We start from the raw sequence: 26471 nt of genomic DNA on the forward strand, positions 1-26471 counted from the left end.
TTTCTAATACAGGCATTTAAAGTAATAAATTGCCCTCTAAAATTGCTTTAATGCATCTCCAAATTTTGATATGTTGGATTTTCAATATCATTTGGTTGAGAATACTTTCTAATTGCCTTTTAAATTCTTATTTTACCCAGGGGTTATTTAGACATGTGTAGCTAACTTTCCAAATATTTGAAGATTTTTGAGATGTCTTATGATGAACAATTGCTAATTTAATATTATTTTGGACAGAGGACATATGCTGTACATCTACCCTAGCAAATGCTCCTTGTGCATTTGAAAAGAATGTATCTTTTTGGATGTAAGTGTTGGGTATTTTTCTAAACTATCAAATAGTAATGGGGCTAATAGCAGTTTTCACACCTTCTATATTCTTATTGATTTGGTCTATTTGTTTTATCTATTACTGAAAGATGGGTTTTAAAATTTACAACTTTGTGGATTTTTCTATTTCTTCCTTTTATTCTCTTAGCTTTTGCTCCACGTATTTGAAACTCTGTAATCAGGCACATGCACATTTAGAGAATTGTGATATCTTCTTGAAGACTTAAACGTTTTATCATTAAGTAAGGTCCCTGTTTAATTCTGGTAACATTATTGATCTTGAAATCTACTTTATCTGATATTACTGTAGCCACACAGCTCTTCTTAGTATTTGCATATTTTATCCTATATATGTTTTATCTTATAGTACATTTTAACTTTTCACCTGTCTTTATATTTAAAGTAGATTTCTTGCAAACAGCATAGAGTTGGGTCTTAAATTTTTAATCATACCTAGTAATTTTGACTTTTAAGGGAGTATTTAGTTAATTTAAAATTAATATAATTAATGGTATGGTGGGGTCTAAGTCTGCCATGTTGCTGTGGTTTCTGATTCTCCCATTTACTCTTTGGATTTTTTTGTTCCCTCTTTGATGACTTTTGTTGGGTGATTGAGTATGATTTTTTATTTAAAATTTTCTCCTCCTCTCCTCAATTGACTTTTTAGTTGTACTTTTTTGAATGTTTGCTTTAGATATTACAATATGCATCCTTAACACAGTCTACTTTCAACAATATTTAATTATATTACACACAGTATAAAGAACCCTACAATGATATAAAGAGGCTTTTCAGCTCCCACCTTACCCTTTGTCTTCTGGTGGTTATAAATTTTACTTCTACATTTGCTATAAGGCCCAAAACACATTGCTACCTTTTGCTTTAGAAAATCTCTCTCTCTCTCTTCCTCTCTCTCTCTCTCTCTCTCTCTCTCTCTATATATATATATATATATATAGCTTATTTACCATTTCAGCTGCTCCTCATTCTTCCCTGCAAATCTTCAGAGGTGAATTTTTCTCACTTCTCCTGCTCTGTCCTCAGTCTTCTAAGTATTAACCCAATGAACTTAGTGAAGGACTGTGGGAAAGAGTTCCTAAATTGGTGTAGACTTGCTCTGTGATTAGAGACCCTTGGATTTCAAATTTACTATGTCAGTCTACATGTTACCATTAAAAGTTTGATTTGCCTGGTTTTCCCATACCCCTGTCTACATCGAATTTTCCTTCTCTCACCACTCTGCCAGGAATGAACACAACCATGCATCTCTTTTCTCCTTGAAAGGGCTTGTGACTTAGTTCATTTAGGTTTCTATGTATCCTCAGCTCTCTGACAGATTTAAAAAATAAAAAAAAATCCACAACTATGATTTCATAACTTCTTTTGAGTGTCCTTGTTGCTAAGATGAAAGCAACAGTATCTTGTGACTTTCCACACCTTTAAAAAAAGTGGAAGTACCCCGACGTCTCTCTCAATTTATTTGTGGAACTCAGTCCCTCGATGAAAGGTAATATAAGCCCCATGGCTTTTCTAATCATTTTCAGTTTAATAAAAAGGTCTTATTGTCAGCTGTTCAAATGTTCACTCCAATACCATCATAAATACTTTAAGTTTCATTTAACTTTCTCTCTTTTCTCAGGTCCAGCCTATTGCAGGCTGAACACCAGCACTGAGGGAGGAGGGCAACACTGGCTCCCCTCTCGCCCCTCCAGTGCTTTTCTCTGTCCTCCTGTCTTTCTAATCTGCTTCCAGATCCCTCTAGGGGGGAATACTGGGAACAGGAAGAAGCAAGGAAGCAGGAAATACCTAATTGATCGACACCTATTCTGGCTGTGATAGATTTTTTTTTTTTAACCCACCTCCTTTTTGAGATCTTTCATGGTTTCTTAAAGACCTAGATCTCTCTCCCCGCACTGCCAGGGAATCTCTCACCTGACATTCCCTTCATGAAGATACATCCATCTCCATGACAACTGGCCTTTTATGCTTCCTCAGCCCTTATGCATCTGTGCATCTGCTAGTGACTTCAGCTGCAGTTCTGCTGAGACTTTTTTCTCCCAAGTATTCCTCTTAAACAAAACCCAAGACATTTCACACTGCCCTTGCTTGGGGTCCTCATGTAGTCCCAAGGAAATACATATACATTCTTTGTCCTAATCAACTCTGAGAGCACAGGCTCCCCTGCAGCTGCCTCTCTTTACCCTCCAAGCAACTAGCCAGATATCCCTTACCCTTTAGCTTTTCTAGGTGGATTTAATACGTTATCCCCTACTTCTAGGGACCACATATGAAACTCCCTGGGCAATCATCTTGAAGCCTTTTCCTTAGTCATGAAATGCAGTTTAAGAATGTCCAGTGCTCCATCATAGGGAGATAGGATTCAAAACCTATAGAATCTACTCTCCATAATGCTTCCTAACCTCCAACTCCCACCCCATCTCTAGACTCTATGAGTGAGAAACTTAAGAGTCACAAAATTGGTTTTTCATCTTTAGAAATTATATGATGTTCCACCTTACTTTGGAATGTAACATCTTTGTGTCTCAGTGGAAATTGCATTAAAAAAAAATCCATGAACCATGTAGGTCCATCTCAAAAAAAGAATCCAGCTATATTTGCAACCACAAAAAATTAAAAACAACCTAAAGTTCAGCAATATGGGACTAGTTAAATAACTTATGGTACAACTATGCAAGAGAATATTCCACAGCTCCCCCCACCCCAAAAGGACAAGGATGCTCTTCATCTGTTGATATAAAATGATCCCTATAGTGTTAAGGGAAAAAAGGAAGAGTGTGGTGTGTACATACAGGATGGTATTGCTATTTTTAAAAAGGCTTTTGCTTGTGTTTAATAAGACATCTCTGATAGGATACACAGGAAACTGGTTGCATCTGAGGAGGGACATTTGGTAGCCAGGAATAGCTTTTTGTACTTTGTGAATTTTAAACCAAGTGAATATACAACTATATTTTAAAAGAAGATAATATTAAATTTAAAAATGAGTGTACAGCAAGGAAATAAAGATTATAGCTGACTGACTTTCAAGCAAGGGGCTTGGCTGTGAAGGGCAAATGTGAGGAGATGAGCTAGTATGAGCTGCAAGACTGAGAAATGATGTTTCATTTTTTGTAGCAGGGTCATGGCTATTGCATGATTTGCATAAGCCTATTATACTGACTTGCAACATCCTTCTTCCCCCCAGGTAATCAGTTGACACCCATTCCAAGGCCTGTTCTTTTTTTTTTTTTTTTTTTGAGATGGAGTCTCGCTCTGTCACCCAGGTTGGAGTGCAGTGGTGCGATCTTGGCTCACTGCAACCTCCATCTCTCAGCTTCAAGTGATTCTCCTGCCTCAGCCTCCCAAGTAGCTGGGATTACAAGTGCAAACTACCACGTATGGCTAATTTTTGTTTTTTTATTAGAGATAGGGTTTCATCATGTTGGCCAGGCGGGTCTCAAACTCCTGACCTCAAATGATCTGTCTGCCTCAGCCTCCTAAACTGCTGGGATTCATAGGATGCTGACGATCTTCCTGGGAAACCTTGAGCTGTATCCATGATGGAGGTTCAGACATAGCTAGACATGTCTGTCAGGTGGGGTTTAGTTTGAGGCGGGTAAGCAGAGACTAGATTATTAGACAGGACAGCCCCTGAGAGAGAGAAACACGGAGTTGTGTTTGGGGTGTATTGTTCACACAGAAAATAACTGCACAGAGCCCCCTGTGGCAAGGTATCAGGCCTGTTGAGGGCATGCTTGTTGTTGGTCTTCTAATGAAGATTAAGGCAAAGTGATAGGAATCATTACCTTCCCTTCTGTCTGCAAATCCCACTTGTCCAGGCACCACAAGGGTGCAGATCAGTAGATGCTAGCACCATTACATTGAGAACACTGGTGGCCACAGCCATCAGCAGATTCTGCATGCTAGCTTGAAACCCTACCTCAGCTGAGGATGAGGCCAGCACTTAGGCATATTGCTGACTCAGCTGGAATCTTCAGAGGCTGCTGAGCTGAAGGCAGCGGTGCCAGTAGCTCTCTAGTGGTGTGCGATGGAACCTTAACATGGCTGAGCTAAGGGTGGGCTGGAAGAGGAAGGTCACTAGCAAAGCAGCACAGCAACAAATGAACACAGCTTTTTCATGAACACGTGTGAGACCTCCCTTTCCTTTGGGAATCCTAGGCATACCTGGAGGCAGGAGTGGGTGGAGGTTAGGTTAGAATTATCTGCAAGATGCTAGAGAACATTTGTAAACTGGTAATTTTTTTTTAGCCGGTTACAATTTAGATTTAATCTGGAAGCTGGTGAAACCTGAAAATATTTGGGTTGTTCTATTTATTTATAGTTTACCTTTTGTATAAGACAGGTTTATATGTTTATTAGCTGGGGATTGAATAGTTAGGAGGAAGAGCTTGAATATAAGGAAATATAAGCAAGGAAGAAAATAAACCAATTTGTCAGGGTCCTGATCTCAAGATGAATTGGGGGTGATGGTAGAAAGATAGGGTCAAAAGCAGTGCACCTTCTCTTCTAAGTCAGGAGGGGAGGAGTTGAAGTAAAGGTGGATTTTTAAATATGCATTGGACTTCCTCAATACAGTCAGAGGCTGTGTCATCTGCTGAGAGATGAGTAAGTTAAGAATGGGTGGAGCTCTTGAGAGCAATGAAGGTTTGACCATCGTTGGGGGAATTGAGGTGGAGCTGACTAGACAAAGAAAGGATTGCTGAATGGCGCCAAGTATCCCAGTGAAGTTGAAGGCCATGAATTTGAAGTGGCAAAGACTTCTCTGTCTTCCTAAGTCTCTGATTTAGAAGCCCTCCTTTGGGCTTCCAGGGCACTGTGCTCTTCCATCCTGATAATGCTTATCACATTATGGGGTAACTGTTGAACTCCACCTCACCACCCCACCCCATCAGACTATATGCTCTGAGAAGGAAGAGAACCTCCCTCTTATTTTTTGTGTATTGCTCTGAGTCTAGCAATTTCTTCTGCTGTTTCCAGTGCACAGTGGATGCTCGATAAATACTGGCTGAATAAACATTAGCATTGTCATCATTGTGAGATTCTTCTATTTCTCTCAGAAGCCTGGGTAGAGAAGCAAAGGAGGCAGATGGTGTAAATGATCCAAGGTGGTTAGAAGGTTTGCAGGGTGGATGTGGCACAGGGTGAAGATGTTAAGGGTGCTGGCGAGAGTCTTGCTGACACAGTGCACCATGAGGGCTGGGTTGAGTAGGATTTGAGAGGTGGCACACATCCAGATGAAGGAAACATTTGGGGTGAGGCCATGGGAGCGGAGTGCTTATGAGAAAAATGAGGATTGAAGCAGGGCTGGGATATGACCTTGGCAGTCCAAATGTCTCCTGGTCTCTAAGCTCTACTTTTCGGTGAATTCCTCGCAATCCAGTGGGAACCTCCCATCATTAAGGGTAAGGAGGGGAAAAGCATTTAAACAACAAATAGATTCTAGTTGAAAATAGATTTGTGAGTGAGAGAAGAAAACAGATATTAGAACTTTACTTCTAAACCACAATATTGACATTCAATTTGTACAGATAATTTTTCTTCAAAGTAGATAAAATGAAATTTGCATAATCATGTGGTTAAACTTTGCAACTGTCATAGCTTTTGGTCACTATTATTACCCTGGTTTTCAAAGCACAGACCATACCCAAGTCATCTTTGTGGACCCTGAACCGAGCACATGGGGGTACTGCCCAGCTGGCTGGCACAAACCTGGAAACAGTCTCCAAGTCTTGAGTTCTTTATTTTACTGGTAACTAAAACCTATTTCTACTGACATGTTAGTCAGTTAAATTTACATGTCTGTTTTATGATCTTTTTTTGAGCTACCAAAGACTTCTGCTTTCCATTTTGCAGATATTCTATTTAGATAATACCAGGCAGGGAAACAAGATTTGCACAGATTTGAAAATTCCATAAGTTTTCAAATAAGTGGGGAACACTCAGAGGTTCAGGAAGACTGCATCAAGAACTAATTTTTTCTGGGATAATTGAACTTCACATCATTCTAACAAATAGGTACTGAACAATACTCTGTGAAAGACACTGAACAAATGGAAAATATATACTGTTCCTGCTGTCAAGCAGTTTGCAGTCAGGTAGAGAAGGATTAGAATGACATAAGTGACTACAGAAGAAAGCAGAACTGTGGAGGAGACAGGACAACTGCCTTGGGTAAGAAGAAAATCTTCAAGCGGTCAAGGATCAAGTCTTTTGTGAAAGTTTATAATCACAATCACTTCATGCCCACAAGATGCTCTGTGGATATTCCCTTGGACAAAAACTGTCATCAACAAGGATACCCTCAGAGACCCTGCTCTTAAATGCAAGGCCAGTGGGAGCCAAGGTGAAGTCCAAAGAGAGGTACCAGATGGGCAAGAACAAGTCGTTCTCCCAGAAACTGTGGTTTTAGATGTTTTTGTTGTTTTCAGTCTTTACAAATAAAAAAATAAATAATATACATATGAAATCAGTACTCAAAATGTCATGGTTTAAACGACAAGCATTTATTTGGCACATGAATCCATGGGTTGGACTCAGTGATCCTTCTGATCTGTGCTGGCTTCTTCAGGCCTCTGGGGTCAGTTAGGTGTTTCTGCCTCTAAAAGGTGGCCAGCTATTGGCTAGTGCAATGGGGACACTTGCTCTCATCATCTGAAACTCTAGTCCATGCTTGTTCCTATGTGGCATAAGCACAGCCTGAGGGCAAACCCCAGTGCACATGCATTTTTTCACGCTTCTGCTTGTGTTGCATTGGATACTATTCCATGAGCCAAACAAGTCACAGTGCCAATCTCAGAGTCAGTGCAAGAGAGCACCGCTACAGTGTGTGGAATCAGGGAAGGGGCAGACTTGTACCCATTTTTGTAACCTACCACTCCTTGCTAATTGATAAAGGAAACAGATAGTAAGTTACACAACAAATAGAAGGTCATCACAGTAGGTCATCACATATTCATAGTAGGTCATAGTGGGAGACTTCCTATTATTACTAGTGATTAAAGAAATATACATTAATATGGGCTTCTAGTCCTCATTTTGTAGAAGAGAAAACTGGAGGCTCAAAGCCTTGCTAAGATGATGGGTAGATGACTATGACTACCCAGCCTGCAGACCAAGCAAGATCCCCAGCTCCAAGTTCAGCAGCCAAAGGCAAGTCTCGATTCATACTCTGGCTCTACCATGTCTTAGTAGTATAACTTTGTATAACATTTCTATGACTCAATTTCACCTCTGTAAAATGAGAGCAATACGCAGGATGTGGGGGCTCACGCCTGTAATCCCAGCACTTTGGAAGGCCAAGGTGGTGGATCACAAGGTCAGGAGATTGAGACCGTCCTGGCTAACATGGTGAAATCCCGTCTCTACTAAAAAAAAAAAAAATACAAAAAATTAGCTGGGCATGGTGGCCGGCACCTGTAGTCCCAGCTACTTGGGAGGCTGAGGCAGGAGAATGGTGTGAACCCAGGAGGCAGAGCTTGTAGTGAGCCGAGATCACGCCACTGCACTCTAGCCTAGGCGACAGAGCGAGACTCTGTCTCCAAAAAAAAAAAAAAAAAAAAAGAGAGAGAAATAATATCTACCTCACAGATTACGAGAACTAAGTGAGATCATGTGAAAACATTCTTTGAAGGTCTTGGTACCTGTTCAATTCATACCTCCTCTTTTTCTTTCTGATGCAATTTTGTGAAACCAGCTACAAAATAAAGCAAAATCAGAAAAGCCCAGACAAAACAAACTAGCAAATAAATAGATAAAACTATAGGGACTAAGAAGAAACTGCAATTTTTGTGTTTAACTGGTGACTGTTCATTCTGTTGTTCATTCACCCAGCAATTATTGAGTGCCTCTACTGGACTTGACACTGTGCTAGGCATTGGGAATGCAGTGGTAAACAGAAAGAGGCAGATTCCTACCCTCATGAAGCTTAGAATCTAATGTCAAAAACAGACAATAACCAAATGATCACATTAATTAGTGCTGTACAATGCCCTTGGTTAGTTTTAGTAGGAGACCATATAATTGAAATATGTGACCCAATTAAGAGTAGGAGGGGGCCAGGAAGGGTCTCCTTGATAAATGGATGAGTGAGTTGAGGTATGAAGGGGACAGTGATTATTTCATCTAGATCACGCTGGGGTTATAAGGGGCCAAGCCATGTGGTCTCTGGGGAATGACAAGGAGATTATATTAACCCTAGGCAATTGGAAGTCATAGAAGGGTATGAGCAAGGTTGAGATTTGGAAAGCTTTCTCTGGGATCAGGGTGGAGAACAGATTAGAGCAGGGAAGAAGTGGATGCAGCTAAATTACCAGAAGATTATTAGAAATACAATTGGAATTCCAATAATTGGAAGATTATTGGAATTGCAATTCACTGATTATTTCCTTTAAAAAAATAAAGTAATGGTAGACCTGTTAATTCTACTTTGTGAAGCATACATCCTAAGGAAATATACCCCAAATATTTGTACATTGATCAGAACTGGTCAGTGACTAACATCAGACCACTAATAGTACATTTTAGAATGAAATTATTGACTAAATGGGTTTTAGACGGCTAAGTTATTGTAAAATCCATGTGTATTGGTCCTTAAGAACGAACAGGGCCATATTTACTTTATCGTTACCAATTTTAAAAATCCATATACCTAGCCAGGTTGTCCCTACCCTAGTGTCACATTGCAGGGAGAAATATTAAGTAGGCTGTGATATTTCAATATGAAGAGATCCTGCACAGCTGCAAAGTACGGCAGGAAAGTGTAGATGACGTGAAGATGTTAAGTGTTAAACAAGCTGAATACAAATTATTAGCAGCACACTGATTATTAGGAAAAACTCATGAGCAAAGTTCAGAAGAGAAACTGAAATATTTCCTGAGGCTCGGGTACTTGGTTTAAAAAGACTTAAGAGTAACACTTGAGTTTAACGGTGTTGGGAGTGGAGTCTACTTATTCATCACCGAAGGGGCTCAATCGCATTGCTTCCCAAAGAAAGTTGAGAGACTGTGCTCCCTGCACTGTGTAATTGTAGCTTGATCCACTAGTCATAGATTCTTAGAAATAAGTAAACATACAGATCTTCAAATGAGACTCTCAACTTCAGCGTCTTCATGATAATAACTGTACATTCCAAGTTTTTGGTACTTTATAGCACTTTTTTTTCTACAACTGTAAAGTGCCTGTGGGAAGTGTTTGTATTTTAAATAGCTTAATAAAAAATGCAAGAAGTTAAAGGTAGATCTGAGAAACATTCAGATATCCACAAAGCAATTTTTAAAATATTAGTGAAATTGGTGACTAAAAATGAAATTTCAAGTTGCTGCTGAATCTCCTAGAATAAACCTAGACTGCATTGACATGTAATTGTTTTTCTCTTTCAGAGTGACAACTATAGCTTCCATAAGAAAGTTTTGGAGGCTCCTAAAAATGACAGATAAATGAACTAACCTAATCAGCAAAATTAAACTATAGGAAAGAGTATGGACCTTGAAAAGACAGGTATGGTTCAAATTCCTTCCCTCAGTTGGGAAAATCCCATTACCCTTTGAAATTGCAGCTTCCTTGTAGGAAAAACAGGGATAAAAGTAACTATCTTTCAGGGTTGATAGGAAATTTAAATGAGGTATTGTATATGCAAGCAGCTGAGGAACACTCAATTAGAATATTAGAGCCCCTTCCTTATCTTTCAGACTTGAATGAGTTTCTTGGTGCATTTTCTTCCTCTTTCCCAGCTTAGCCAGCTTGACGACTAAAGCAACACCTTTCCAAGCAACATTGGAAATTTGACCTCCTCATCAGAAAAATGTGTATAGACATCTCTGGAGTCAGGCTACCCCATATGAAGCTTGGATTTTGGCTTCACTGTGGCTGCAGGTATTTGAGGATGCAATTAGCTGAACTAATCTCACTCAAATTCCTAAGTGCGACTTCTTACGTGGTTTTCATCTAGCCGTTCTATCTATCCCAACAAGAATCTGTTGCTAGACCTCAAAAACACTGAGTGCTGTCAGGAAAAAATGTACAAGGCACCACAAAGATTATGGGGCATCTACTATGGAAAACCTAGACATTGTCTAGAGCATTGTTTGTGGTTATCTCTGTCTTTCATTGCCTTTGATCTATTTTTCAACTCTCCACATTGTAGAAAATGACTGATAATTCAAATGATTCTTTTCCATAAAAATGGAAGTGAACAATGTTCGGTGGGATGCAATGGACTAATTTTGTAGGTATTTATAAATTTATTTTAACATTTTGTATTACCTATGTATATATGTGATTCTCTGAATTCTCTTTTGAACTGATCATAACATCTTACTGGATCTCATTAATTAATGCATTAAAGTCTTTGACCCATGTTCATTTTATATGAGAGTCTTGATTTTATATTAAAAAATGATCCTTTGAGAGTGGCTAATCCTGACAAGGGGGAGTCTCCCAGCACAGTGCACCAGCTCTTCAGCTGATCCTGACAAGAGGGATTCTCTCAGGACAGCGCACCAGCTCTGCTAAGGGACAGACTGCCTCCTCAAGCGAGTCTCTGATCCTGTGCCTCCTGACTGGGTGAGACCTCCCAACAGGGGTCAACAGACACCTCATACAGGAGAGCTCCAGCTGGCATCAGGACAGTGCCCCTCTGGGGTAAAGCTTCCAGAGGAAGCAGGAGGCTGCAATCTTTGCTGTTCTGCAGCCTCCACTGGTGATACCCAGGTGAAGAGGGTCTGGAGTGGACCCCCCGCAAACTGCAGCAGACCTACAGAAGAGGGGCCTGACTCTTAGAAGAAAAGCTGACAAACAGAAAGCAACAACAACATCAACAAAAAAGACCCCCAACACAAAAACTCCATCCAAAGGTCATCAGCCTCAAAGATCAAAGGTAGATAAATCCATGAAGATGAGCAAAAACCAACGCAAAAATGCTGAAAATTCCAAAAGCCAGAAAGCCTCTTTTCCTCCAAATGATCACAACACTTCTCCAGCAAGGGCACAGAATAGGGCTGAAGCTGAGATGGATGAACTGATTAAAGTGGGCTTCAGAAAGTGAGTAATAACAGATTTTGCTGAGCTAAAGGATTATGTTCTAACCCAATGCAAAGAAGCTAAGAACCATGATAAAAGATTACAGGAGCTGTTAACTAGAATAACCAGTTTAGAGAATGACATGATGGAGCTGAAAAACACAGAACGAGAACTTTGTGATGCAAAGACAACTATCAATAGCTGAATTGACCAAGCGAAAGAGAGAATATCAGAGCTTGAAGACTATCTTCCTGAAATAAGGCAAGCAGACAAGATTAGAGAAAAAAGAATGAAATGGAAAGAACAAAATCTCCAGGAACTATGGGACTATGTGAAAAGACCAAACCTACGACTAACTGGAGTAGCTGAAAAAGATGGGGAGAATGGAACCAAGTTGGAAAACACACTGCAGGATGTCATCCAGGAGAAACTCCCCAACCTAGCAAGACAGGCCAATACTCAAATTCAGGAAATCCAGAGAACCCCAGTAAGATACTCCATGAAAAGATCTACCCCAAGACAGATAATCCTCAGATTCTCCAAGGTCAAAATGAAGGAAAAAATGTTAAAGGCAGCCAGAGAGAAAGGCCAGGTCACCTACAAAGGGAAGCCCATCAGACTAACAGCTGACCTCTCAGCAGAAACCCTACAAGCCAGAAGACACCGGGGGCCAATGTTCAATATTCTTGAAGAAAAGAAATTCCAACCAAGAATTTCATATCTGACCAAACTAAGCTTCATAAGCAAAGGAGAAATAAAATCTTCTCCAGACAAGCAAATGCTGAGGGATTTTGTCACCACCAGGCCTGTCTTGCAAGAGCTCCTGAAAGAAGCACTAAACATGGATAGGAAAATCACTACAAAAACACATTGAACTACACAGACTAGTGACACTATGAAGCAACTATATTAACAAGTCTGCAAAACTAACCAGTCAGCATCATGATGACAGGATCAAATTCACACATAACAATATTAACCTTAAATGTAAATGGACTAAATGCTCCAATTAAAAGCACAGAATGGCAAGCTGGATACAAAGACAAGACCCATAATGGTGCTGTATTCAAGAGGCACATCTTATGTGCAAAGACGTACATAGGCTCAAAATAAAGGGCTGTAGGAAAATTTGCCAAGCAAATGGAAAGCAGAAAAAAGAAGGGGTTGCAATCCTAGTTTCTGAAAAAATAGACTTTAAACCAACAAAGGTCAAAAAAAGACAAAGAAGGGCATTACATAATGCTAAAGGGTTCAATTCATCAAGAAGAGCTAACTATCCTAAATATATATGTACTCAATACAGGAGTACCCAGATTCACAAAACGAGTTCTTAGAGACCTACAAAGAGACTTAGACCCCCACAAAATAATAGTGGAAGACTTTGATACCCCACTGTCAGTACTACACAGATCATCAAGACAGAAAAATTAACAAAGATATTCAGGATTTGAACTCAGCTCTAGACCAAGTGGACCTGATAGATATCTACAGAACTCTTCACCCCAAAACAATATAGTATACATTTTTTTCAGCACCACGTGGCACTTACTCTAAAATTGATCACATAATTGGAAGTAAAGCACTCCTCAGCAAATGCAAAAGAACTGAAATAATAACAAACAGTCTCTCAGACCACAGTGTAATCAAATTAGAACTCAAGATTAAAAAGCCTACCCCAAACCACACAACTACATGGAAATTGAACAGCCTGCTCCTGAATGACTCCTGGGTAAATAATAAAATTAAGGCAGAAATTAAGAAGTTCTTTGAAAACAATGAGAACAAAGAGACAATGTATCAGAATCTCTGGGATGCAGCTAAAGCAGTGTTGAGAGGGAAATTTATAGCACTAAATGCCCATATCAAAAATGTAGAAATATCTCAAATCAACACCCTAAGATCACAGCTAAAAGAACTAGAGAACCAAGAGCAAACAAACCCCACCGCTAGCGGAAGACAAGAAATAACTAAGCTCAGAGCAGAATTGAAGGAGACAGAGACACAAAAAACCCTTCAAAAAATCAATGAGTCCAGGAGCTGGTTTTTTGAAAAAAAATCAGTAAAATGGACAGACCACTAGTAAGACTAGTAATGAAGAAAAGAGAGAAGATTCAAATAAACACAATCAGAAATGATAAGGGGGATACCACTACTGACCCCACAGAAATATAAACAACCATCAGATAATACTATAAACACATCTATGTGAATAAACTGGAAAATCTAGAAGAAATGGATGAATTCCTGGACACATAACCCTCCCAAGACTGAATCCCTATATAGACCAATAACAAGTTCTGAAATTGAGGCAGTAATAAATAGCCTACCAACAAAAAGAAAGAGTCCAGGTCCAGATAGATTTACAGTTGAATTCTACCAGAGGTACAAAGAGGAGCTGGTACCATTTCTTCTGAAACTATTCCAAACAATTGAAAAGGAAGGACTCCTCCCTAACTCTTTTTATGAGGCCAGAATCATCCTGATACCAAAACCTGCCAGAGATACAACAACAACAAAAAAACTTCAGGCCAATATCTCTGATGAATATCGATGTAAAAATCCTCAATAAAATACTGGCAAACCAAATCCAGCAGCACATCAAAACACGTATCAACCACGATCAAGTTGGCTTCATCCCTGGGATGCAAGGCTGGTTCAACATACACAAATCAATAAACATAATTTATCACATAAACAGAACTAAAGACAAAAACCACACAATTATTTCAATACACAGAGAAAAGGCCTTTGATAAAATTCAACATCTCTTCATGTTAAAAACTCTCAGTAAACTAGATATTGAAGGAATGTATCTCAAAATAATAAGAGCCATTTATGACAAACCCACAGCCAATATCATACTGAATAGGCAAAACCTGAAAGCATTCCCCGTAAAAACTGACACAAGACAAGGATTCCCTCTCTCACCACTCCTATTCAACATAGTGTTGGAAGAAGCTCTGACCAGGGCAACTAGGCAAGAGAAAGAAATAAAGTACATTCAAATAGGAAGAGAGGAAGTCAAAGTGTGTTTTTTGCAGGTGGCATAATCCTATATCTAGAAAACCCCATCATTTCAGCCCAAAAACTTCTTAAGCTGGTAATCAACTTTAGCAAAGTCTCAGGATACAAAATTAATGTGCAGAAATCACAAGCATTCCTATACACCAACAACAGACAAGCAGAAACCTAAATCATGAATGAACTCCCATTCACGATTGCCACAAAAAGAATAAAATATCTAGGAATACAGCTATCAAAGGAAGTGAAGGACCTCTTCAAGGAGAACTATAAAGCACTGCTCAAGGAAATCAAAGAGGGCACAAGCAGATGGAAAAACATTCCATGCTCATGGATAGGAAGAATTAATATCATGAAAATGGCCATAGTGCCCAAAGCAATTTATAGATTCAATGCTATTCCCATTAAACTATCATTGATATTCTTCACAGAATTAGAAAAAAAACTGGCTGGGCATGGCGGCTCACACATGTAATCCCAGCACTTTGGGAGGCCGAGGTGGATCACGAGGTCAGGAGATCAAGACCATCCTGGCTAACATGGTGAAACCCCATCTCTACTAAAAATACAAAAAATTAGCCAGGCATGGGTGGCAGGCACCTGTAGTTCCAGCTACTCAGAGGCTGAGGCAGGAGAATGGCATGAACCCGGGAGGTGGAGCTTGCAGTGAGCTGAGATCGTGTCACTGCACTCCAGTCTGGGTGACAGAGTGAGACTCCATCTCAAAAAAAAGAAAACAAGTATTTTAAAATTTATATGGAACCAAAAAAGAAATCACATAGCCAAGGCAATCCTAAGCAAAAAAAAAACAAAAACAAAAACAAAAAACAACCAAAAAAAACAAAGCTGGAGGCATCACACTACCCAACTTCAAATTATACTACAAGGCCACAGTAACCAAAACAGCATGGTACTGGTACAAAAACAGGCACATAGACAAATGGAACAGATAGAGAACTCAGAAATAAAACTGCACATCTACAACCATCTGATGTTCAACAAACCCAACAAAAACAAGCAATGGGAATAGGATTCTCTACCTAATAAATGATGCTGGGAGAACTGGCTAGCTATGTGCAGAAAATTGAAACTGGATCCCTTCCTTACACCTTATACAAAAATTAACTCAAGATGGATTAAAGACTTAAACATAAAACCCAAAAGTATAAAAACCCTAGAAGAAAATCTAGGCAATACCATTCAGAACATAGGCATGGGCAAAGATTTTATGAAGAAATTGCCAAAAGCAATTGCAATGAAAGCAAAAATTGACAAATGGGATCTAATTAAACTAAAGAGCTTCTGCACAGCAAATGGAACTATCATCAGAGTGAACAGACAACCTACAGAGTAGGATAAGTTTTCTGCAATCTATTCAACTGACAAAGGGCTAGTATCCAGAATCTACAAAGAAATTAAGCAAATTTACAAGAAAAAAACAAACAACCCCATTAAAATGTAGGCAAAGTATACGAACAGACACTTCTCAAAAAAAGACATGCAGCCAACAAACATATGAAAAATAGCTCAACATCACTGATCGTTAGAGAAATGAAAATCAAAACCACAATGAGATACCATCTCACGCCAGTCAGAATGGCAATTATTAAAAGGTCAAGAAACAACAAATGCTGGCAAGGTTGCAGAGAAATAGGAATGCTTTTACACTGTTGATGGGAATGTAAATTAGTTCAACCATTGTGAAGAAGAGTAGGAAAATTCCTCAAAGATTTAGAATTAGAAATACCATTTGACCCAGCAATCCCATTACTGGGTATATACCCAAAGGAATATAAATCATTCTATCTTAAAGATACATGCAGGCATAGGTTCATTGCAGCACTATTCACAATAGTAAAGATATGGAATCAACCTAAAGGTCCATCAGTGATAGACTGGATAAAGAAAATGTGGTACATACACTCCATGGAATACTATGCAACCATAAAAAGGAACATGTCCTTTGCAGGGACATGGATAAAGCTGGAAGCCATCATTCTAAGAAACAGGACCCACAATAAACAAATGAGTACAAAGATTTTAAAATGTGAATCACCTGGGGATCTTGTTAAAATGGAGGCTGAGATTCTACCTTTCTAACAGTGCCCTAACACATCTAACGGGGTCATACTGATGTGGCTGGTCTTGAGCTCACATTTAATTTAATTTTAGATATTAGGTTTTAGATAGTGTCTTAGTCTGTTTGGGCTATGATAACAAAAATACCTTAGTCTGTTCAGGCTACTATAACAAAGTTATAAACAACAGAAATGTATGGCTCACACTTCCAGAGGCTTGGAAGTCCAAGAAAGGCGCAAGCAGATTCGGTGTTTGGTGAGGGCTTTGCTTTACAGCTCGTGCCTTCTTGCAGCATCCTCACATGGACATTCTCACATGGAGGAAGGTGCAAACAAGCTCTCTTGGGCCTCTTTTATAAAAGCACGAATCCCCATCCATGAGGGCTCCACCCTCATAACCTAATCACCTCCCAGATGTACCCACCCCCCGCCACCACACAACTGCACTGGGGACTAAGTTTCCACAAATGAACTGGGGGAGGACACAGACATTTAGACCACAGCAAATAGCATGGTCAATGAAGATCTCTCTGTGACTCAGTCTCCTTTTCTGTAATTGGGGTTATTAATTGATCCTGCTGCATAAAGGGTGTTTGTACATTAAAGTACAGTATCTTGGACACAGTAATAATTCTATACCTTTTTTTTAATAACTGTATCACTTACTTTAATTTTTAAAAGACTTCCCTGCAGAACAGCATGGCATCCTTCTAAGGAGTTAAGAAAATGATAATAGAAGCAAGAAGGAGATAGGAAAGTTAAGGTAAAGGACATCCACCCTCCACTGACAATATTATTTCCAGGAATGGTAATAACAAGTAGAAATTTTGTGAAATCTGGGAGGTCTCAGTGTATAAATGTGGAATTGGACTTCTGAATATACAGTATTTGGGTTTATTAAACCCCATAATAATTTTAGTAGCAATTACTTCTCTGAGTGTAAAATTAATCTCAATTTATAAAATAAAGTAGAAATTTCATGTCTATCCTTTTATAGAAATTATTTTAGAGATATAGGGTAAACCCTCAGGAATAGGAATATACAAATTGCATTAAATTATGTATATTTTATTTAAAAAGCCAATTATGCTGGAAAATGTTATTATTTTATAAACAGAGAGCTAGGATTATGTAGATTATATACGGTTGGTTTTAGAAGCTAAGATATAGCTTATTTTAAACAGATGCTGTATTTCAGAAATGCATTTCAGAAATCTGTTTTTTCAATATATATAAAGCTGAGAAACTTCACCCACCCCCCTTTTTTAGGAAAATCCTCTGATGAACTTTACATTAAGATATTTCACAGTAAAAGAAAAAAAAAACAGCTTGATATTATGCTCTTTGGGGAGTTTGGTTTTTCTCTTTGGTATTGTGTGGTCTTATGTTAGAGTAATCCTGCATAGCACTGTAATCTAGTCACAGATCATTGTTATTAGTGTCAGTGATAATTACACCATACATTTTGATGGCATCACAGTCTTCAAAGGGTTTTTCCATACATTACTTCAGTTAATGTGCTCCACAACCTGAGAGGAATGCAGAACAGGTATAATTTTTTTTCTTTTTTTACAACAGAAGACAAGTGAGATTTGCTGAAAATTGCATGGTTGAGAAATGGAGGAACATGATTCAGAACGCGAGGCTTCTGAATTCTAACTCATTACTCTGCACCCAGCCCATCTAACGTTGCACTGAGACTCTGACAAGGAAGGCAGTGATCTGTGATGACCTTGCTGAATATATTAAGCAGAAATGAGAAGATGTAGGACAACAACCTGGGGCAAAATGCAGATAAGGAAAGGAAACCTGTCCTAATTGGGTTGTCTTTCCTTTAAGTACCTGAGCAATGGATGGAAGCAGAGACTCAGGATGATAACCCTCTTGATCAAGTTTTTCAGGATGATGATTCAGGGTGATGGTTTGGAAGCATTCTCTTTGAAAACTAGTTGGTAGTTGATGCACAATGAAATACTGTCCAGCTGAGAAAGAGATGGAAAATTATCCGGTGGCTAATTCCCAAGCTGATGGCCCTACCCTACCTCAGTTCTATCCCCACCTCATGCCCTGCAGATTGCTGGGGTTTCTGGTGGAAATCCAACTCCTCTTTAAAACCTCCTCCATTTCCTCACCCTCCATCTCTACTCTTAGCACTTGAGAGTGTACATTTCGTCTTTGCTCCTCTTCCCTCCCCAGATGATCCAAATAGAAAATACATCAGCACGTGGGAAAGAGCAACGTTGATCGTCTTCACGGAAAGGCTGAGGACCCTGCGCCTACCACATGTTGGCCAGGGTGAGCAAGCAGTGAAAGAGAAAACACTTTTTTCAAAAAGCCAACTGGTAAGGAATGTTACTAAGCTACCATGTAATTTTCTGTAGCTTTCTGGCTGGGTGTCACAAGCCTGTTAAGGCCTAGCCATGTAGGATTATCCCTGTTACTTCCAAACTTCAGTTTTGTTTCTGAATTTAATTATCCACAAAGTTTCAGAAAGATCCACATAGCTCAAGATCAATTACATTCATTTATTTTCATGTTTTCTGGGATCTGGCTGGTGTGTTGGCTGGATCATCTGAAAAGCAGATACCAAGATGGAGTTGAAAGTAGAAGAGATTTTAGGGGTGTAATTTTTGTGAAAGATAAAGGGGAGAAAAAGCAAGAGAAAGCAAGGAGAGCCTTACACCCAGATCTGACACCTGTGAAAAGATAGAAGGAGGAAAGGAAGATTGGCCAGAAAGGCCTCAGACTGTGGTACAGCCACAAGAAATTTGCTCCTAGAGGCACCTTGCATTGGTTCAATGGTGAGCATTTATGCCAGTTCTGTGCTCAGTCATTGGTTAGAGGATGTCCAGGTAGCACATAGTCCCAGCTTGAATACAGAGTCAGATTCTGAAGCTACCCATAGCGAGAAATTGACAGCGGTTTCTTTCTTGAAGGTAGAGCTGACTTGCACACTTCCACAGCTGGGCAAAGGAAAGAAGATGGTCACAGCAAGCTAAGTCCCTACCTGTGTATATGAGGGCTACATCTAGTCAGTGGATTTATGCCATCTGACTAGAACATAGATACAGATTCATCCATGCATCCGTGCATCTGTGGACCCATGTATCCATCCATCCATCCACCCATCCATCCATCCATCCATCCATCCATCTATCCATCTGCTCATTTCTTGCTTTAGATGATGGCAGCAATCTGCTGAAGCTTCTGTCAGAAGAACCTCTCCTTGGTGCTGCCTCAGAAATCAAATCTAGATTTTGCCTCTTCTGCTAGTAAGGCTGTAAGTTCTGAGTGTCAACCAGCTTATATCTCCACCCAACCTGCCTCCAGCTCTCCTTGTGACCATAAGTCAATGTATTATCCATCTGAGACCAAGCCCTTAACCACACCTTAATTGCTGCCAGTCTGATATACCAATTATTTGAATCCCACTGGTACTTTGCTCCACTAGGTGGGTCATAATTCATGTTATAGTCCCTTTGATTCAGTGTTCCAGGCACAAACAATGCACACCAAGCAAGTGATGAAGTTTATTGCAATGTCCTTGGGTTCAGGGTCAATGAGAGCAACTGACAAGCAGCAGAGGTAGTGACCTGACTTGGCTGTGTGCCTTCCAGTTCTTAAGTCACTGAAGCTGTTCACCTTCAACATGACCCTGGCTTTTGGTAATAATATTTCATAGCAGCCTCTATCCAACTAATGTGGCAACAAGCCATGCAATTTTGAGCCCAGAGAAATCTTGGGCCTTTTGAGAGCACATTATTTTGGAGGATGAAGTCGGTGGAAATGTGTAGGGCTTGGCAGGTAATAAAAAGAGGTTGATTTTTTAAACAAATAATTCTACCAATTAGAATATAATTCTCTTTGAAATCAGCTATCTCTAAGGTCCTTTCATTTCTTTCATCCCATTACTTACTCCATCAAAGAACGCAAGTTTCACCATAATTGAAACCAATTCCCCCCCCTTTTTCCCCTAGAACAATGTTTATGTGTTGGCAGGCTTTCTCTCATGTGGCTTAAAGGACCACATGTGTTTGCAGGCATTCTATCAAGTAGTTTAAAGAGCATAAAACTTGCAGTAATATTTTTGGGAGTAAATTTTATTGTTATGGCTTTAAAACACAATCAAATAAAAATAAGAATATCCATTAGTAGTTGAATATTGTAATAATAGAGTTGAGAACAAATTTTACTGTTATAGGAACTATAAAACAGCAATAATAAAACACTATTATTGTGAATAAATTGTGTGGAGATGACTAACTAGAAAGCTATAAAACACAACGATAAGAAATAATCTAATCACCAGGAAAGATGTGATAATAATTCACCCTTGTTAGTGAGGAGCCCATGGTTCCACTTCATTGGCCCTGAGTTCCCTGGGTTACTGCTTGCATTCCATAAGGTTACAGAAAGATAATCTTTGGCCAGGGGGGTTGGCAGGAGACCACATATTACAGTGAAATTGGACGTGGGGATTGAGGAAAATCCAATTATCAGTGACAGTTAAGAAAATCCTGTGTAGTAATATCAAATGTCCTCACAACACATTTAAAAAATTATTTGCAGGTTTTTACTAACAATTTGTGTGTATTATTTGACTACATTTTTATGTGTTTTTAAACTTTTATTTATATTCTTTTGTTTCAGAATAACTGTATGGAACTACATATTGGTAGCAGGGGAAGCCTTTTGCAGTCTTTCTTTTTATTTAGACTACCCATACGTCCCTTTGCCATGAATCCATCTCAGCCCATTCCAATTAGCAAGAGTATGGAAAGATGACACCCTTAACTTCCAGGTCCCCCTCTCTTTCTGTGGAACTGACAGCACCATTAGAACCCTTGCTCCAAAATTAGTACTACCAAGGTTCCTGCCAGTCCCCTCACTTGGGTGAGGAAGAGAGTGGCATGAGTGTTGCATTTTACCCCTCATTCTGAACAGCAAAATTCAAATTCAGGATTTTTGAATTAACTAAATCCCAAGGGAAGGATGCAAAATGCTAACAATGCAGTTTTCTTTAAGGTGCCATTATCGTAGGCAAGCTATGCTGAGTTTTCTATACTCACCGCCTCCACTTTCTCACTTCCCTTTCCTTCTTTAACCAGCTCCAGGCAGGCGTTTGTCCCCACCACGTTATCTACTGAAATTGCTCTTTTCAAGGTCTCCAGGAGCCTCTATCCTGCTGGTTATGATTGGTTAGTTCTTCGTCCTCGTTTGACCAGTGGGTAACTCCCATTTTTTTTGTTTTTAATGCTTTCCTCATTTGGCTTCTGGGACACAATAGTCACCCATTTTTTAACTACCTCACTGGCTGTTCTTCACAATTCCCTCGCTGGATTCTTCTCTTCTACCAAGTCCTCTAAATGTTAGGTCAGCCCAGGTCTCAGTCTTTGTCTTTCTCTGTCTATACCCACACCCTAGATGAACTCCTCTAGCCCAGTGGCTTTAAACACCATCGTGATATTGTGATACAATAGGAAATACATATTTTGTCTTTGTCCCTGGTTCCTGACACAGAGCTCCTAAAACCCTTGGAATTTCCTCAGTGATAAGATCAATAAAGGTGAAAGGGCCATTTTTGTTATTCATGACGTCCCTTTTGACTATGTCTAAGTTTAAGTGAACAGGTAACTTTTGGAAAGTTTCTAAGGATAGCGGCTGGTTGCCAGGAGAATCAGCCATGTTATTCAGTAATCCCCTCCCATCTCTGGGGAGGAAAGAGGGACTGGAGATTTATTTAATCACCAATGACCAATGATATGATCAATCATACCTATGTAATGAAGTCTTCATAAAAACACAAGGGAACAGAGTTTGGAGAGCCTCTGGGTTGCTAAACACATGGAGGGACTGGGTGGATGGCATGCCTGGAGACAGCATGGAAGCGCTTATCTCCTCTAGTTTTTTAACTGCATTCTCTTTACTTGAAACTGTAACATTTGTTTGTATACTCGTTTATTTTTCTCTCAACTCTACTGTGAGTTCCATAAAAGAAGGGACTCTGCCTTGTTCACCCTTGTATCTTAAGTATCTAGCATAGTGTCTGGTATACAGTGGTACTCATGAGATTTTTGTAGAATGAATACATGAATACAGGGCAGAAGATTTAAACTGGGTCCCTAAATGCCAAGGACTCCATTTAAATACTCTACCTGCTCTGCGCTAAAGTTTGCCTTGCTCAGTTAGACTATTAGCAATGGTCTTAACATGAGTCTTTAATTTTACTGGTCAATGAGATTCAAGCATAACTTGGCTATGTCTGAAAACATGGCGGAGTATCTGACAGAGTCCTTCATGTAAGAGGGGCGTGGGGTAAAATCCACATGGGAAAGGATTGAAACTGTCTTCACTGCTCAGATTTGAAGAGATCTGGGTTTGTTTAAGAAGCTGGTGATGTGGTTCATCAGAAAAAGAGAAGGCATTTGACCCCAATCAAAGCCTTAGATTGAAGGAGGAAGTGGAGATTCTGAATAATGACCATGTCCATTTTGACCAGAGCAGAGTGTTCTTTCTGGTCTCATGAACAGGCTCATGATTCACAAAGACTAGCCTACTATTCCCATTCAACCTGTGTGAGGGGAAGAGCAGGAATGATTGCTCCTGAGCACGAGTGATGGGGGTTCCTAGAAATACTCCAAGGTGACTTTACATAGGGAGGAAATTTATTTCAGGATCTGGTGAAGTTGAGAGCTCACGTAAATTTGGTTTTAGAGAAGAAATGAAATATCAAATGGTACAGCATTTCCCACACTGGAAAAGGTGTTTGAGGACATGAGAGAGTTAATAAAGCAATTGCCCGTGACTTTCTGCTGAGACATCCACTAACTGATTTATCTCATCTTGATTGTGGGAGCCACAGTCTTGATGCATTCATTCTCAAGGACACTTGATCCACTGCCAGAGAGGCCCAGAATTTTCTAACTTACTGTGTGGCAGAATGAAGCCTCTGCTTGAAACCCTTTATCTTTTGGGGATGCTGGTTCCTGGAGGGCTGGGATATGATAGGTGAGTGTAAAGTGGGAAGAGGAACTGATTATTATAATTTAGATTGTCTAAATTGAATGGTTTCTTTTTAAGACCAATGCAGCTGGCTTCTCCTTCCTTGCTACTCATATATACCACCATGAGATGAGAATAATAAAGACCACTGAAATTTATCACTGAATAATCATAATCCTCTAATAATCCTTGAATAAATGAATAAATATCTAGCAAACATTTCCTAACACAATGCATGAGATATACAAATAGACATGTCATGTTTTGTGATTGGAAAAAGAAAATTGTAATACAAATTCTATATCCTTCATTTTCATAGTATCTCATTTGGTAAATCACATTATCCTAATTATTAAGAAAAATGTTAAAATGACCAAATAATTTCACCTAGAGATAAGTACTATTAATGTTTTCAGATAGCTACCTGATTATGTATGCAGCACTATTTCTGAAATATTTCACTTAAATTGTATTACAGAAATTTTCCTATGGCATTAGCAATTTATTTAAAACAGTTGAAATTGCTAATAATATTCTGTCATTTAGTCAATTCCTGCTTTTTCATTTTTACAAATAATGCTGTGATGAGCAACCAGCTACATAATTTTTTTTGCTTTTTGCAAATCTTTAATTATTTCTCTAAGAAGTGGAATTACTGGGTCAGTAACTGAGGAAAATGTAAGGATCTTGCTACACATTGCCCAATTACCCTCTAGAAAGATTACATCAGTCTACACTTCCAATAACAGTGTATGAAAGCACTTTTTAAGTGTTTGGCAAATTGACAAGTAAAAAATACACATTGTTGACTTCCTTTGTATTTTGTTGATTTATAAGAGTAAATATTTTATTACTAATTTTATCATTTTATAAATTGCCCATTAATGTCATTTGCCCATTTTTGTGGTCTCTCCCTACTCTTAATGAATCATAAGTTCTCTAAATACATTCTATTGAAATCTGTGTGTGTGTATGTGTGTGTGTATAGTTTCCATATAAAGTGTGTTTTTCCCTTGTTCATATGCAAATCATTATTTTGCTCATTTAGCATATCTCATGAAGTATATGTGGTTATAATTGGTATTTCCTCTTTTGCTTCATGGTTAAAGAAATCTTGCAATGAACTTGCTCTCACATAACATAGAAACCCACTCCAATTTTTGTCCCACAATAATTGTGTGACCTCAGCTTGTTCCTTATCTTCAGTTCAATTTCAGATACTTACAGAGTCCAGGATCTCTGTGATATCAAAAACCTGTTTGAATATTTCTTTCTCATTTTTCCATTAGTTTACTTGGTTTCATGTACATAGGGCATTTATTTTCCTTTCTGAAATTCCTCATCCATAAATTGGAAATGAAGACTCTTACATATTTTACAGGAAATACAAAAAAAATTATGCTGCTTAAAAATATCAAGAGCCTTAAAACATAAATCTTTTGGCCTAGTGTTCCTGCCTCTGGACATCTATACTGAGGAAATAAACTAAAGTCTGAAAGAGTTTTATGCAGCTCTGGGATACAACTTTATTTATAATATATATATTCTAATATTTGGAAACAACTTGAATGTCTATGTTAGGTTATGTAAATGCTGATATGTGATATAGGACAATGGGATATTATTCATGCAATAGAAAAATAAGTATAAAACTTTTTAATGGCATAGGAAAATGTATGTTTTATGCTAAAGGAAAGAGGCTGTATATAAATCTAATGGAGTACTTTAAAAAATAAAATAAAAATATGTACTAAAATGGTAATTGTTATCTTTGGTTGGTGATATTTTCTCCCTTCCCTCAACTATTATTCATTTTGCAAATATCGTACAATGAACATGACATAAAACTTTAATTTAAAAAATTAGATTCCAAGCCCAGGTTAAATTATTGAAGTGACTAGGCTCAGGCAGTGGGACTCAGATGAGACAGCTTCCATTGGATGGTTCCTCATGACTGCACTTGACCGTGCTTGTCTTTATTGGCTGTTTTTATTTAAATTATTAGTTATTGATATAAAAAATAATGGTCACTTTTATGTAACTCTCGCCAACTCAAAACATGTTAGCTGCAATTTTTGATAATCTTTATTCACTACATGTGATAATAGTCTAGAAAATTTAAAATTAATAAAGATTACAAGCTTTGTAATATTTCTCTTGAGCATTTAGGGAGGTAATCTCCCATATGTTATATATTGCATACATCCTGAAAAAGTGTAACTCTGTATAATCATTTGGGATTTAGCAATATCAATCAAATGGCTTGAAAATGTTCATCTTCTTTGATCTACTAATTCTTCTTTCTGGAACGTAGCTCAAGGAAACAATAAAAAATAAGAACAAAGATTTACACAATAAGGTATTATCTCTAGAATTATTTATAATAGTATAAAAACCAAAAGGGACATAGCTTTAATATCCAGCATAGAAGAAAATATTTAAATAAATGATACTATGTAACATATACTTACTGTCAAATAGTGTGCAACCATTAAAGAGTTTTCATTGGTTTGAGGAAATGTCTTTGGTAGAATACAGAATACAAAGAAACGAATACAAAATTATATATAGATATAATCTGCCCTGCATTTAAGAAAAATAAATGCACAGATAAAAGTCTGGAAGGAAACATGCCAAAATATCAGTAGCAGTTAACTCAGGGAGGTGGAATTATTGATAATTCTTCTCTTTTCTATTTTTCTCCTCCTTTTTTACCTCTCCATACCTTCTACGTTTTCCATGTTAGGCATATGTTAATTTTGTAAGCAGAAAAATAAAGTTTGAAAATACAGAACTATCATGAAATATTCATGTAACTATTTCTTCACCAAGTATTTAAAATACAAAATTTGCCTCAATATTCATTAGGATTTTTTTGCCTCTTTATACATTCCAGTCAAAATGCTATCAGACCATCATCTTTGATCTGCAGACTTTATTAATAATGTACCCCAAAGGATCATTTTCTCTATTAAACATTTTATGAATTCCTGTTCAAAAAG

General features: G+C 38.4%; 1 protein-coding gene across 2 annotated transcripts in view; it reads left to right on the forward strand.

The window, feature by feature from the left end:
- The window catches only part of CPO (carboxypeptidase O), a 29957-nt gene continuing 26811 nt past the window's right edge, over window positions 23326-26471 (forward strand). For both annotated transcript variants that reach the window (NM_173077.3, XM_047443423.1), the window contains exon 1: window positions 23326-23475. In NM_173077.3, coding sequence (NP_775100.1) covers window positions 23408-23475 — 68 coding nt within the window. In that variant the 5' untranslated portion in view covers window positions 23326-23407. The remainder of the gene's footprint in view (window positions 23476-26471) is intronic.

The sequence above is a fragment of the Homo sapiens genome, chromosome 2 (genome assembly GCF_000001405.40).
Source record: "Homo sapiens chromosome 2, GRCh38.p14 Primary Assembly".
Lineage (NCBI taxonomy): Eukaryota > Metazoa > Chordata > Mammalia > Primates > Hominidae > Homo > Homo sapiens.